A 16,374-nucleotide genomic window follows, 5' to 3' on the forward strand; every position below is an offset into this window, starting at 1 on the left:
AATGCTTTAAGTAGATAGAGTGATTGATAGGGACCTTCTGGTAAACCAAGTTCTTATAGAGTGAGTTCAACACAACATTTTCCATTGAAAGGCAAAGTGTGAATCATTCCTTGCCATAAATACATACAGGTACATAAGTACATATAAACAAAATAAATGATTAATTCAGCATTATCTCATGTATTTATGTCCGTGTATGTGCTTAGGTACATGTATGTGCGTATGTACATGTGTATAAGTACATGAGAGAGAAATGCTGAATAATTGTTTGTTGATAACTGAAAACCTGCTGGAGGCTTGGCGTGGTGATGTATGCTTAGGATCTCTGCACTTTGGGAGGTCGAGGCAGGTGGATTGCTTGAATTCAGGAGTTCAAGACAAGCAGGGGGCAACATGGCGAAACCTCGTCTCTACAAAAAAATATAAAAATTAGCTGGGTGTGGGGGCATGCGCCTATCGTCCCAGCTACTCAGGAGGCTGAAGTAGCAGGATTGCTTGAGCCTGGGAGATAGAGGCTGTGGTGAGCCAACATAATACCTCTGCACTCCAGCCTGGGCGACAGAGTGAGACCGTGTCTCAAGAAAAAAGAGGAAAATTTCGATTTAGTTTGTGATTATTTTGTGAGCTTCATAGATTAAAAAAACACTAAGTAAGGTTTCAGTGTCATGCAGCACTATTTGGAGGTGTAGCAACAAAAGACACTGTCATGTAAATGAAAGCTAGTGCTATTGAATGCAAAGCTGCACACTGACTTATGCCTAGAGAAGAGTTGGCAAGCAGTAGTGTGCTTCCAGGCATGATTCTGTATTGAAAATAGTGAGAATTGGGAATTATTTTTATTTATTTATTTATTTTGAGACAGAGTTTCACTCTGTCACCTAGGCTGAAGTGCAGTGGCTCACTGCAACCTCCGCCTCCCAGGTTCAAGTGATTCTCCTGCCTCACCCTCCTGAGTAGCTGGTATTATAGGCACGTGCCACCATGCCTGGCTAATTTTTGTATTTTTAGTAGAGACAGGGTTTCACCATGTTGGCTGGACTGGTCTCGAACTCCTGAGCTCAAGTGATCCGCCTGCCTTGACCTCCCAAAGTGCTGGGATTATAGGCCTGAGCCACCACACCCAGCCTGAAAACTGAACAGTTGAATTTAGTAATGTGGTAACTTGGGAATCAGATTCTCCCCTTTCCCTAGGGTTTACTGTTTTTTATTACTGTTATTGTTTATTATTTTTATTTTTGATTGTTGTAGGCAGTCTGGCAAGGATTGCCCTGAGGTGTAAACTTAAGGTCATTTCATGTGTTTTCTGAGCCTGTGGTATTCTCTATGTGTGGTTACTTTGTAATTTTCTCTGGATATTCATTTGTTTTTTAATCTCCTAGTATTTAATTTTTGGCTGTCGAAAGGAGAAAAATTAAGGCAGAGGGAAGGGGCATCAGATTTTAAATCCCCTGCTAGTCACTTCAGCTTGAGAGGTCCGGGCTTGTAGTGGTTGGCGGGGTGTGAATGCAACAATAACAGGCAGGTGTCTCTTTGTCTTCACCTCTGTGATCAGAGTAGCAATCAGAGCAGAGATCCTCCGTATTTGGAGGACAGAGTCCTTCTTGATGACCCTGGCTCTTGCAAGCTCTGTACAGTTTGCTTCAGAAACATGTGTACGCCTGCCTGCTGTTGGGCTGTATGTGGGGGATGGTTAACTGCTACTGTGCTACCAGCTGAAAATGGCAGAAAATAGCCACAATTTATCTTCCAGGCTTTTCTCAGGAAGTTGCAAACCTTCTGTAGGCTCCAGAGTTCCAAAGTGGTTACATCAGACAGATTCTATCAGCACAATTGTTGTCTAGGTGTGGATACAGATTCCTGGTGATTCCTGTTCTGCCAACTTCCCAGAATCCTCCTCTTTTTGTCTGTTTTTGTTGCATATTCCTAGTACTTAGAACAGTACCTGGTTCAAAATGGGTCTTTAATAAAAATGTGTTGAATAAATGAAGGAAAACAGTGGTAGTTGGTTGTATCCTAGATATAATTTGAAGATAGACCACTATATTTGTTGATGGATTGGTTGTAAGATGAGTGACAGAGATTAATCAAAGATGTCTCCTAGATTTTTGTCCTAAGCATGTGTGGAGTTGTCATTTCTTGAGATTGGGAGACTGTGGGAGTGGCAAAACTGAGACAGTTGTTCTCAAAAGTTCCTTTTACTTGGTTTTAACATTGCATAAGCTTTGAAGACCATATTTACCATATTTATTTGTAATGTTTTCTTTTTCTCAGGTCATGCGCATCGTGGATAATGTTCGTCCTGATCGACAGACGGTTATGTTTTCAGCTACTTTCCCCAGAGCTATGGAGGCTTTGGCTCGCAGGATCCTCAGTAAACCTATTGAAGTACAAGTTGGAGGCAGGAGTGTGGTTTGCTCAGATGTGGAGCAACAAGTGGTGGGTACCATCTTTAGGAAATTCCCAGTTTCCTTGATACTTAGGTGGTATGTATGATTCTTCTATGATCACTGTTTGTGAGGTAGGCAAGGTAATTTCTAAAATCAAGTCGTATACCACTACTCTAGCCTTCAGTATTTTACCAGATAAACTTAACTGTGCTGTTCCACGGAGCTATTTAAAATGCTTGTTTTTTTTTTTTTTTGTTTTTTTTTTGCTGGGTGCAGTGGTGCATGCCTGAAGTCGCAGCTTTGCAGTCCCCGGAGTTCTGGGCTGTAGTGCACTATGCCTATCTTTGTCCATGCTAAGTTCAGCATCAGTGTGGTGACCTCCCGGTAACAGGGGACCACCAGATTGCCTAAAGAATGGGATATTCTGTCCAGGGCAGAAAAACAGAACAGGTCAAAACTTTTGTGCTGATTGTAGTTGGAGCACATCTGTGAATAGCACCCTAGGCATAGTGAGCCCTGTCTGTTTAAAGACAAGTAAAATAAAACGTTGTTTTAGTTTCTGTCACCAAAAGTGGTGAGTGGTGAATGGTGAGCTGATATATAGAAATGTCACATACCAGATGGGCATGGTGACTCATGCCTGTAATCCCAGTATTTTGGGAGACCATGGTAGGAGGATCACTTGAGGCCAGGAGCTGGAGACTAGCTTGGGCAATATAGTGAGACCCCTGTCTCTACAAAGGAAAAAGAAATGTTACATATCTATTTTATTTCTTGGTTACTAGGATATGAAATTAAGAGCCAGAGAGAACAGATGATCATTTGCCCTCATTTGCAAGCCTGTTAAACCCTGAAAGTTTACAATTTTTATCATTTACAATTAAAATCAACATCTTCCTAGCCCTTGGTAAAGATATAGCAAGATATTGTCATTCATTCACTACAAATAAAATGAATATTTCTGTCCAGGGGATCCATTTGCATTTTCACTTCATTAACTTGATACAATATGGTGTTTTCAGATTGTGATTGAAGAAGAAAAGAAATTCTTGAAGTTACTTGAGCTTCTAGGCCATTATCAAGAGTCAGGATCTGTCATTATATTTGTGGATAAGCAGGAACATGCTGATGGTCTTCTTAAGGATTTAATGAGAGCATCTTATCCTTGCATGTCTCTTCATGGAGGTAATTATTCACTTGATTCACACATAAAATATCTATTAAGTACTTGCCAAGCATTGTGCTGTGTTCTCGATGATACTTACTTTGTTCTCTATAATTCAGAACTAAATTTTATGTCAGTTTTTACTCTAAAGTGCTTTGTGGGAGTAAGATTATTATTGTCTCATCTAAGAGAAAGAAGATCATACAGGCATACTTTGGTTTGACCAAGTTCCATCGCCATTTATCAACTATGGAGGAATTGAATTTAACTTTTCTCTGTGTTATACCCTTTCCATTGTACGTGCTATCTGTAGGTTTTCATGATTCACTTTAAAGAGCTTTTATTGAAATTTCAAAGTAACGTTTTAATTTCTTGTGATATTGCTATCACATGCATGTAATAGCAATATCACAGTATGTGGAACTAGAACACAAAACACAGACCGGGCATGGTAGCTCACGCCTGTAATCCTAGCACTTGGAGAGGCTGAGGCGGGCAGATCATCTGAGGTCAGGAGTTGGAGACCAGTCTGGCCAACATGGCGAAACTCCATCTGTACTAAAAATATAAAACTTAGCTGGGCATGGTGGCACATGCCTGTAATCCCAGCTACTTGGGAGGCTGAGGCAGGAGAACCGCTTGAACCTGGGAGGCGGAGGTTGCTGTGAGCTGAGATCATGCCACTGCACTCCACTCTGGGCAACAGAGTGAGACTCTCTCCATAAAAAAAAAAAAAAAAGGCCAGGCGAGGTGGCTCACACCTGTAATCCCAGAACTTTGAGAGGCTGAGGCGGGCGGATCACCTGAGGTTGGGAGTTCGAGACCAGCCTGACCAACATGGAGAAACCCGTCTCTATTAAAAATACAAAATTAGCCGAGCATGGTGGTGCATGCCTGTAATCCCAGCTACTTGGGAGGCCGAGGCAGGAGAATCGCTTGAACCCAGGAGGCGGAGGTTGCCGGGAGGCAGAAGTTGCGGTGAGCGGAGATTGCACCATTGCACTCCAGCCTGGGCAACAAGAGTGAAACTCCGTCTCAAAAAAAAAAAAAAAAAAAAAAAAAAAAAACACAAAACACATGGAACAGAGACAGTTTGAATTATTCTCATTAACTAAGTGTTCTGGCTATCAGTAGCTTAGTAATGAATCACTCCAAAATTTAGTTGCAATAGTTACTTATTTTGCTTATGAATCTTCAATTTGCGCAGAGCTCACTATATATATCTAGTCTCTGTTTCATGCTGTATGTGCTGGGACACAGTGGAGCTGGGCATCACCTACCAATCTACCTCACTTTATGTGGCTGGCAAATTGGTACTGGCTCTTGACTAGGAGCTCAGTTAGACCTTGGTCATGGGCCCTTGTGGGCCTCTCTATGAGGCTGCTTGGCCAAGAGGAAAGAACAAGAAGCTGCCCAGCCAGTTAAGGATGATACTGGAGTTGGCAGAGCTTTCATTTCTGCCATATACAAATAGGTTGGTTACCACACTGGCCCAGATTCAAGGGGATGGAGGCATAGGTGTCACTTCTTGATTGAGAGAGTGTCATCCCACATGCAGAAAAGCATATGGAATAGGACATATCTTTGAAATACAGTCTACTTCCAGCAGGCTTCATATGGGATGAAATTAAAGGGGCTTTGAAGATTTGTGTTTGGTTAACTTTTAATGTTTGAAAATGATTTTTTATTTATTTATTTTGAGACAGAGTTTTGCTCTTGTTGCCCAGGCTGGAGTGCAATGGCGCAATCCTGGCTCACTGCAACCTCCGCCTCCCACGTTCAAGTGATTCTCCTGCCTCAGCCTCCCCAGTAGCTGGGATTACAGACATGCACCACCATGCCTGGCTAATTTTGTATTTTTAGTAGAGACGGAGTTTCTCCATGTTGGTCAGGCTGGTCTCGAACTGCCGACCTCAGGTGATCCGCCCACCTCAGCCTCCCAAAGTCCTGGGAATACAGGCGTGAGCCACCGTGCCCGGCCCGAAAATGACTTTTTTGTGTGTGGTAAATACTCACTATATAAAATATCCCCGCCCCCCACCGTTTTTTTTTTTTTGTTGTTGTTTGTTTGTTTGTTTGAGACAGGGTCTTGCTCTGTCACCCAGGCTGGAGTGCAGTGGTGTGAATCTCAGCTCACTGCAACCTCTGCTTCCCGCCTCCTGGGTTCAAGCAGTTCTTGTGCCTCAGCCTCTCAAGTTGCTGGGACTATAGGTGCATGCCACCATGCCTGACTAATTTTTTGTGTGTGTTTTAGTAGAGACAGGGTTACGCCATGTTGGCCAGGCTGTTCTTGAGCTCCTGACCTCAGATAATCCACTTGCCTTGGCCTCCCAAAGTGCTGGGATTACATGCGTGAACCACCACGCCCGGCCTTAGAATGTACCATTTTTTGTATATAATTCAGTGACATTAAGTATATTCACAATGCTATAACCTTCACTACTGTCTATTTCTAGAACGTTTTAATCACCCTGAATAGAAACTACCATTTTAAGTAACAAGTTTCTTTTCCCATCCCTGAGCAGTTGCTCATAACCTCTATTCTGCTTTCTGTCTCTATGCATTTGCCTATTCTGGGTACCTCCTATAAGTAGAATCATACATTGTGTCTTTTTGTGACTGGTCTTTTTCACTTAGCAAAATGCTTTCAAGGTTCATCTGTGTTGTAGCATTTGTCAGATTTTCTTTGTAAGGCTGACTAATATTCCATTGTATGTATATACAGCCAGCCCTTCGTGTCCATAGACTGCAGATTGAAAATATTTGGAAAAAAATTTGTCCGTCCTGAACATGCACAAAATCTATTCTTGTCATTATTCCCTAAACAATACATTATAAAAACTATCTATTAATACATAGCATTTACATTGTAATTGGTGGTTTTAAGTAATCTAGAGTTTTTTAAAGTTTCCGGGAGGATGTAGGTAATATGGGCTTACTATGCCATTTTATATAAGGGACTTGAGCATCCTAGGATTTTGGTATCTGCCAGGGGCTCTGGAACCAATCCCCTGAGGATACTGAGCGATGACTACATTTGTTTATGATTTTTTTAGCTACTATTCTTTGTCTACCCACACATCAGTTTTTCTTAATTTTTCACACATTTCAAATAAATAGGAGATCAGGTTATCACATTTCATGTCAATGTGCATATCATTAACACTAGTTCAAAACTTGTTTCACTTTTTTTTTTTTTCTGAGACAGAGTCTCCCTATGCTGCCCAGCTTGTCTTGAACTTCTGGGCTCAAGCAATCATCCCTCCTCAGCCTCCTAAGTAGCTGGGACTATAGCAAAATTTGTGAATATTTAAAAAAAAAAAAAAGCTGGGTGCCGTGGCTCACGCCTGTAATCCCAGCACTTTGGGAGGTTGAGGCGGGTGGATCACTTGAGCTCATGAGTTTGGGACCAGCCTGGCCAACATGGTGAAACCTTGTCTCTACTAAAAATACAAAAATTAGCCAGGCGTGGTGGCAGGTGCCTGTAATCCCAGCCACTCAGGAGGCTGAGGCAGGAGAATCGCTTAATCCTGGGAGGTGGAGGTTGCCATAAGCAGAGATTGCACCATTGCACTCTGGTGTGGGCGACAAAAGCGAGACTCCGTCTCAAGAAAAAAAAAAAAAAAACCCTAATCTGGGCACAGTGTTGCATGCCTGTAGTCCCAGCTACTCAGGAGACTGAGGTGGAAGGATTGCTTGAGTCTAGGAGTTCGAGGCCAGTCTGGGCAACATAGTGAGACTCTGTCTCTTAAAAACAAACCAAAAAAAATCTAAGAAATTTCCCTCAGTTTATCTCTGTCCCTACCCCTCCAGAGTTAACCACTTTTACTTTTTTTAGATGGAATGTCGCTCTGTCGCCCAGGCTGGAGTGCAGTGGCATGATCTAGGTTCCCTGCAACCTCCACCTCCCAGGTTCAAGTGATTCTCCTGCCTCAGCCTCCTGGGTAGCTGGGACTACAGGCATGCACCGCCATGCCCGGCTAATTTTTGTATTTTTAGTAGAGACGGGATTTCACCATGTTGGCCAGGATGGTCTCAAACGCCTGACCTCAAGTGATCCACCTGCCTCGGCCTTCCAAAGTGCTGGGGTTACAGGCGTGAGCTCCTGCACCTGGCCTGAGTTAAGTACTTTAAACAAATTTTTTCAACATGGATTAGTTTTTTTTACCTCTTAGAGTTATAGATAAATGGAATCATATGTAATGCATTATTATTTATGTAAGGTTTCTTTTAGCATATGCCTTTTGAGATTGATCCATGTTGTTGCATGTATCAGTAGTTCTTCCCCTTTTATTGCTGAATAATATTCTATTATATGACTATGCCACAGTTTAGTCATTTCTGTTGGACACTGGGGATGGGGGCTGCTTCCAGTATTTTGGTTGCTTTAGCCACATCCCGCAGAATATACCATAATCAGGTTGCAGAACAGTTCCATCACTTCCTAAAAAACTCCCTCATCGTGTCCCTATAAAGGTAATTAATTATAAAGGTACCTTTCCCTATCCATAACCGCTGGCAACCACTCGTGTGTGTTTTTGTTTGTTTGTTTGTTTGTTTTTGAGGCAGAGTTTTGCTCTTGTTGCCCAGGCTGTAGTGCAATGATGCCATCTCGGCTCACTGCAACCTCCGCCTCCCGGGTTCAAGCGATTCTCCTGCCTCAGCCTCCTAAGTAGCTGGGATTACCGGCATGTGCCACCTCGTCTCACTAATTTTTGTATTTTTAGTAGAGATGGGTTGTCGTCATGTTGGTCAGGGTAGTCTTGCACTCCTGACCTCAGGTGATCCACCTGCCTCAGCCTCCCAAAGTGCTGGGGTTACAGGCTGAGCCACCACACCTGGCCTCATGTATTCTTTTAAGAACGTTTGTAGGCCGGGTGCAGTGACTCATGCCTGTAATCCCAGCACTTTGGGAGGCCGAGTTGGGCAGATTGCTTGAGTCTGGGAGTTTGAGACCAGTCTGGGCAGCATAGCAAGACCCCATCTCTATGAAAAAATTTAAAAACTATAAAAAATTAGCCTCCCAGCTACTCAGGAGGCTGAGGTGGGAGGGAGGATTGTTTAAGCCTGGGAGGCGGAGGTTTCAGTGAGCCGAGATTATGCCACTGTACTCCCACCTTGGCGACAGAGTGAGACCCTGTCTCAAATGAAAAAAAAAGTTTGTAATGGAATCCTACAGTATGTAACTTTTTGCAGTTGGCTTTTTTTTACTCAGCTTAATAACTTTGATATGCATCCAAGTTCCAAGTTCTTGCATAGTTTATTTATTTATTTTTTTCCTTGAGACAACTTTTCTCTGTTGCCCAGGCTGGAGTACAGTGGCACTCTCTCAGCTTGGCTCACTGCAACGTCTACCTCCCAGGCTCAAGCGATGCTCCCACCTCAGCCTCTTGAGTAGTTGGGACTATACGAATGTGCCACCATGCCCAACTAATTTTTTTATATTTTTTTGTGGAGATGAGGTTTCACCATGTTGCCTAGGCTGATCTCAAACTCTTGGGTTCAAGCAGTCCTCCCGCCTTAAGCTCCAGAGTATTGGGATTCAAGCCTGAGCCACGGTGCCTGGCTTATAGTTCTTTTTTTCTTATTACTGAGTAGTATTCATTGTATGGATTTATCACTGTTTGTGTATCTGTTCATCTGTTTAAGGACATTTTAGTTGGTTGTTTTTTTTATAATTATGAATAAAGCTGCTATTATTCAAATAAAGGTTTTTGTGTGAATGTCAGCTTTCATTTCTCTAGGATGGATAACAAAAAATGGGATTGCTACATCATATGGTGACTATATCTAGGGATGGTATTATTTGTATTTATTCTGTGTGGGGTTCATTTAACTTCTAGAATCTGTAAATTTATGTCCTGTTCTGAATTTGGGAAATTCTTCGTTATTTCTTTCCTGCCTTATTCTCTCTTTGGGACTTCAGTTATGTATATGTTTGACTTTTTGATATTGTCTCACTGATGCTTTGTTCAGTCTTTTTCAACCTTTTTTTTCCCCTCTGTAGATCAAATTGGATAATTTCTTTCTTTTTTTTTTTTTTTTTTTTTTGAGATGGAGTTTTCTTCTTGTTGCCCAGGCTAAAGTGCAATGGCACTATCTTGGCTCACCGCAACCTCCGCCTCCCAGGTTCAAGTGATTTTTGTGCCTCAGCCTCCTGAGTAGCTGGGATTACAGGCGTATGCTACCACATCCAGCTAACTGTATTTTTAGTAGAGACAGGGTTTCATCATGTTGGTCAGGCTGGTCTCGAATTCCTGATATCAGGTGATCCACCCACCTCGGCCTCCCAAAGTGCTGAGGTTACAGGCGTGAGCCACCGTGTTTGGCCCTGATAATTTCTTTTACCCTGTTGTCAACATTATCGTTTTTTTTTTTTTTGTCATCGCCTATCAAATTCTGTTAAGCCCATCTAGTGAATTTTTGAATTCAGTTTTTGTATTTTTTTAGTTCTAAAATTACAAATATGTTCTCTTTTAGATTTTCTTGTTTGTCTGATTAGATTTTCTAGACGTTCCTTGTAAGCATTTTTAAAAAGTCTTGATCATAATTATTATATGTGCTTTGAAATCTTTGTTAATTTTAACATCTGGGTCATACTGGTGTCAGTCTCTATTGACTGTCTTTTTTCTTGATTTTTGTTTTATGGTTTTGTCTTTGTATGTCTAGTAATTTCTGTTTGCATACTGGACTTTGTGAATGATCCATTGTAGAGATTCTAAATTCTCAATTCTCTGATGTCCCCGTCAAGTGGTGTTTTGTTTTTGTTTTTGTGTGGTTTCCAAATAGGGCATTAACTTGGCAGAACCCAGCATCCAAACTCTGTCTGCCTTTAATGGGCAGCATCTGAAATCTCTTACTTTTTAATTTTATTATTATTTTTTATACGGAGTCTTGCTCTGTCTCCCAGGCTGTGTGCAGTGGCGTGATCTCAGCTCACTGGACCTCCATCTCCCAGGTTCAGGCGATTTTCCTGCCTCAGTCTCCCAAGTAGCTGGGATGACAGGTGCGTGCCACCACGCCCAGCTAATTTTTGTGTTTTTAGTAGAGACGGGGTTTCACCATGTTGGCCAGGCTGGTCTGGAACTCCTGACCTCAGGTGATCCACCCACCTTGGCCTCCCAAAGTACTGGGATTACAGGTCTGAGCCACCGAGCCTAGCCCTGAAATCTCTGAATTTTTTTTTTTCATCCCAACTGCTTAGATTTTTGCCTCATGAATCTGTAGCTTAGGGGTCAGCCAGATAGTTGGGCAGCATATATACGCACAGTTGTGGGTTTCTGCTCCATTCTTCTCAGGATTTATCTCCTCTGTTTCCCAGTCCTGAGTTTGTTTTGAACACTTTCTGGTGGTTTTTCTTATAAGACTGAGTTTCTGTTCAAGTTTTGACTTCCTCGCTTGGTCTGTGCACGGCCTGCCCCTAAGCAAAGAGTTTGAAATAAATAAGTAAGTAAATAGAATCCTCTACACTTTGCCAGTGCCAGTGCAATACTTTCTTCCAAGTGTCAACTTTCTTCCCATTTCTGCTGCTGTTAGTCGCTCTCTGGTGTCTTTACGTAGTTGCTCTTTATTTTGCCCAGAGTTCATGGTTGTTACCTGCCGGAGGGATTGGTCCAGTAAGGTTTCTCCTACATTGTTGGGAATGTGTGTTTTTATATAGTAAGGAAGTTGTTTCCCGTAATACTTGTCTTTAATACTCCTTTTATCTTTTTGGCCAGAATTGTATCATATCCTATGCGTAAGCCTCATTTCATAGGCAAAGAGAATGACAAGTGATGATGATTCTTCTTTTTTTTTTTTTTTTTTTTTTTTGAGACAATTTCTTATTGTCTTGCTCTGTCTCCCAAGCTGGAGTGCAGGGGTGTGATCACAGCTTACTGCATCCTCGACCTCCAGGGCTCAAGCTGTCCTCCCACCTCAGCTTCCTGAATAGCTGAGACTGCAGGCATGAGCCACCATGCCTAGCCTATTTTTGTACTTTTTGTAAAGATGGGTTTTTGCTATGTTGCCCAGGGTGATCTGCCCACTTTGGCCTCCCAAAGCGCTGGAATTACAGACGTGTGTCCTAGGACCTCTGAGAGTCCCTGAGATGTCAGGAGGTTTATGAGGCTATATGTATTTTCATAATAATCCAATGATGTTATTTGCCTTTTTCTCATTCTCTCTTCTCTCTAGTATGTAGGGTTTGCCACAGACTAAATGACATGGTATATTGTGACAGATTAAATACAGAAGATATGACACTCCAATTATCTTCCATTAAGCGAGACCTGAAAAAGATTGGCAAAAATGTAAATCAGTGCCATTTGTCTTTTTATTTTTTTTGGGACAGGGTTTTACTCTGTCGCCCAAGGTGGAGTGCAGAGGCACAATCACAGCTTACTGTAGCCTGAACCTCTCTTTGCTCAGGTGATCCTCCCACCTCAGCCACCCGAGGAGTTGGGACTACAAGCGTGTGCCACCACACCAGGCTAATTTTTTGTAGAGAGGGGGCTTTTCCATGTTGCCCAGGCTGGCCCGTTTGTCTTAATAAATTATTTTATTGTTCCGGAAAAGTCATTTTTCACAAAAATATGCTTTTTATTTTAACGTGTCATTGCTATTTTTTTTAGTCTTTTAATTTTTATTCAAAAATAATTTTTAAAATTTAGCTCTCTGACTCTGTGCTTGTGCCTTCAACACTTTCACCATGATTTTCTGTTCCTTGATAAGGAAAGCATGCTTAATCCTGTCATGATCACATTTAACACACATGGAACCACCATAGGCTCTGCTGACATGTTTTTTTTTGTTTTGGACATTCACGTAACAATATTAGATCTCACAACACAAACCCCTTGAAGTCTGCATGGGCACATGCCACCTGCAGATTTTGGTGCTTTCCCAACTTTGTTGGTATAAAGGTAAACAATTCTATTACCAGGGATTCCAGACAACCTAGTTTTGTTAAAGGCTGTATTGTAGAAAGCCTATGACAGGCAGTATGTCAAATGCTTGACCATTCTGAGTGCCTCTAGATAACACCCCTGAAAGAAGAACTGTATTTTTTTTTTTTTTTGAGATGGAGTCTTGCTCTGTCGCCCAGGCTGGAGTGCGGTGGCACGATCTCTGCTCACTACAACCTCTGCCTCCCGGGTTCAAGCTATTCTGCCTCAGCTTCCTGAGTCGCTGGGTCTATAGGCGCCTGCCACCACGCCTGGCTAAATTTTGTATTTTTAGTAGAGACGGAGTTTCACCATGTTCACTAGGCTGGTCTTGAAATCCTGAGCTTGTAATCCGCCCGCCTCGGCCTCCCAAAGTGCTGGAATTACAGGCATGAGCCACCGCTTCTGGCTGAGGAACTGTATTTTTAAACAAATCCAGTATTTAAAAATTTCCTCAGTTCTGATTTCTTTTCTTTTCTTTTTTTTTTTTTGAGACAGAGTTTTACTCTTGTTATCCAGGCTGGAGTGCAGTGGCATGATCTTGGCTCACGGCAATTTCCACCTCCCAGGTTCAAGCAATTCTCCTGCTTCAGCCTTCTGAGTAGCTGGGATTACCGGTGGCTGCCACCATGCCTGGTTAATTTTTTTTTGTATTTTTAGAAGAGACAGGGTTTCACCATGTTGACCAGGCTGGTCTCAAACTCCTGACCTCAGGTGATCCTCCTGCCTCGGCCTCCGAAAGTGCTGGGATTACAGGCGTGAGCCTTGCCCCCAGCCTCTCTGTTCTAATTTCTAATACATTAAGTATTGATAGACAAGACCTAAACTAAAGCTCTTTGGGTGCGGGTTCTTATTGATTTTAAGATATAAAGACATCCTAAAGGCCAGGCCTGGTGGCTCATGCCTGTAATTTCAGCACTTTGGGAGGTGGGCGGATCACCCAAGGTCAGGAGTTCAAGACCAGCCTGGCCAACATGGTGAAACCCTGTCTCTACTAAAGATACAAAAATTAGCCAGGCATGGTGACAGTCACCTGTAGTCCCAGCTAGTGGGGAGGCTGAGGCAGGAGAATCGCTTGAACCTGGGAGGCAAAGGTTGCAGTGAGTCCAGATCACGCTATTGCACAAGCCTGGGCAACATGAGTGAAACTCCGTCTTTAAAAAAAAAAAAAAGAGACATCCTGAAAACAGAAAGTTTGAGAAGGGCTGGTTTACACCAAGCACAATTCACTCTTTGAGACTGGGATTAGGCCCGTCTCTCATTTGATGTATACCTGACTATGTGTTGGGTTGGTATGTGAACAAAATTGGGGTTATTTTAAAAAGGAAGGGGGTTCATGGTTTTTGGGTTGACATCCCATATGCTGCTTCAGTTAGCATATTATATTCAATTCTAAGGAATCAATTTTATGTGATTATGTTAGTAAGGATACTTTAGGCTAAAGTAAAAGTTTTGGTATTTTCAAATTATAAACAAATTTATATTGATATTGATTTCATTAAATTTTCTTAGGCAATTTTTTTGGTGAAGTGTTAGATTCCAGTTTCTTTGACAATGATTCAAATACTTCCTTTAAATCAATCCTTGAAGAGTACCTTTAAAATTTTAGGTAGTACTAAGAATTAATATTGGTAATTATTTACGTGCTAAACAGTGTATGTTAAACCCAGATTTTCTGTGAAATCTTCCATTGAAAGCATGAGTTTTAAGTTTTGAGAGTTTATCTTATTCCCTTCTCTATTACCAGAGTTTCCTGGGAACCTCATCATAAAATATTTTGTGGTCTGGGCATGTCGTAATAGAACTTTATGGTATTTTATACTCTGCTTTGCCATTCATACTAAACCTCTTTGGATCATTTATTTAAGAGATATCCATTTGGGTACTTCTAAACCAGTATTCCTAAAACTTTAATTTGCATATGATAATCACCTAAGGTTTTTTAAAATGCAGATTTTGATTCGGTAGTTTGGAGTATAACCCTAGATTCTGCATTTCCTTTTTTTTTTTTTTCCCCGAGACAGAGTCATGCTCTGTCGCCTGGGCTGGAGTGCAGTGGCGCAATCTCGGCTCACGGCAACCTTTGCCTCCCAGGTTCAGGCATGTGCCACCACGCCTGGCTTTTTTTTTTTTTTTTTTGTATTTTTAGTAGAGACGGGGTTTCACCATGTTGGTCAGGCTGGTCTCGAACTCCTGACCTCATGATCTGCCCGCCTCGGCCTCTCAAAGTGCTGGGATTACAGGCATGAGCCACCGCACCTGGCCTAGATTCTGCATTTCTAACAAGCTCCCAGGTGATGCTGCTCTGGTCCTTGGACAAAACCGAGTAGCAAGGCTCTAAATAACCTACAGGGAAAGGAGAAAGATCTAACTCTTGTCAATATAGGCTGAATGTTTCTGCCTTTTCTCGCTTTGGCTCCCAAACAGGTTTAGATTAATTTCTGATATTGGACCTTTGCAAATATAAACCTTATATAGAAGAAAGGGGGCAATACAAGACCAGAGTTGAAAGATTCATAAATGAGTTAATAGCAATAACCTTTAATCTTGCCATTACATTTTCTTAGTCTTTTATTTTCTATATTTTAGGAGTTGGATGTGTCAATTTGTTCTTCACTGAGTTTAGATTCTTGGTCAGAAGACATGGAAAATTTAATTTGAACATGTTTTAAAGCTCTCTAATTTACTTGCAGGCATTGATCAATATGACAGAGATAGCATCATAAATGACTTTAAGAATGGGACCTGCAAACTTCTTGTGGCTACCTCTGTTGCTGCCCGAGGTCTAGATGTGAAACATCTGATTCTTGTAGTAAATTATAGCTGCCCCAACCATTATGAGGATTATGTACACAGAGCAGGGCGGACTGGAAGAGCAGGAAACAAGGTAAAAATAAGTTTTTTATAGTTGATCTTCATTATATTAAAATACAGGTGTTTCTTTAGTATTTCAAGGAGTAGATAATAGGAGTTATGGAGACATTTTGAAAATCTTTAATCCACATAATGTGAAGAGTGGTTGATGTTAATAATTTATATACATGTACAGGTCTAAGTGTTGTTCAAATTATCAGATACCTAGCTGCTCTTTGTAGGCAGATCCTGTTAACAGTTTGTCTTCCCTTTTAGGTTTTTCCCCTCATGCCTAAACGTTTCTATACAGATGTTCCTTGATTTATGATGGGGTTACAATGTCCCGATAAACCCATCGTAAGTTGAAAATGCATTTAATATACCTGACGTACTAAACATCATAGTAGCCTAGCCTACCTTTAGCATGCTCAGAACACTTACATTAGGTTATACTTGGGCATCATCATCTAACACAAAGCCTATTTTATAATAAAGTATTGAATATCTCATGTAATTTACTGAATACTGTACTGGAAGTGAAAAACTGGTTGTATAGGTACTCAAAGTACAATTTCTACTGAATGCATATCACTTTTGCACCATGGTAAAGTTGAAAAATTATAAATTGAATCATTGTAAGTCGGGGACCATCTGTATACACATACACATAAATGTTTATACTTCAGGATCTTTTTTTAAAAAAAAACATGGGATCATAAAATATACCCATCTCCACACCTACCAATTTCTCCTACTCCCCTCTTTACCTCCCTATCATTCATACATACATATGTTACTTGCTTTTTTGACTCACCTGTATTCTAGAAACTGTATGGGTCTAACTCATTCCTTCTAGAGGCAGCAGACTAGTCTGTTGTTGGAGACATTGATTATGATATATTTAATTTTCTAACCCTGTACATTGCATAATAAAGCAATAAGTAGTATTTATATGCCATAGCTTACATTAATGGATAACGTATTATCTGCCATATATAATGTCATTTTAACTGTTTTACATATATAATGTTATTTTATCCTTACA

General features: G+C 41.2%; 1 protein-coding gene and 1 pseudogene across 3 annotated transcripts in view; one reads left to right on the forward strand and one right to left on the reverse strand.

The window, feature by feature from the left end:
* Window positions 1-16,374, forward strand: part of DDX46 (DEAD-box helicase 46) — a 72,343-nt gene that overhangs the window by 33,800 nt on the left and 22,169 nt on the right. For all 3 annotated transcript variants that reach the window (NR_125341.2, NM_001300860.2, NM_014829.4), the window contains exons 14-16: window positions 2,272-2,436; window positions 3,410-3,572; window positions 15,170-15,363. Coding sequence is in view for 2 of the 3 variants with exons in the window: in NM_001300860.2 (NP_001287789.1) it covers window positions 2,272-2,436; window positions 3,410-3,572; window positions 15,170-15,363 (522 nt within the window). In the remaining variant the exon portion in view is untranslated. The remainder of the gene's footprint in view (window positions 1-2,271; window positions 2,437-3,409; window positions 3,573-15,169; window positions 15,364-16,374) is intronic.
* RPL34P13 (ribosomal protein L34 pseudogene 13) lies at window positions 12,164-12,590 on the reverse strand (annotated as a pseudogene).

This window comes from Homo sapiens, chromosome 5, assembly GCF_000001405.40.
Source record: "Homo sapiens chromosome 5, GRCh38.p14 Primary Assembly".
NCBI classification, from domain to species: Eukaryota; Metazoa; Chordata; class Mammalia; order Primates; family Hominidae; genus Homo; species Homo sapiens.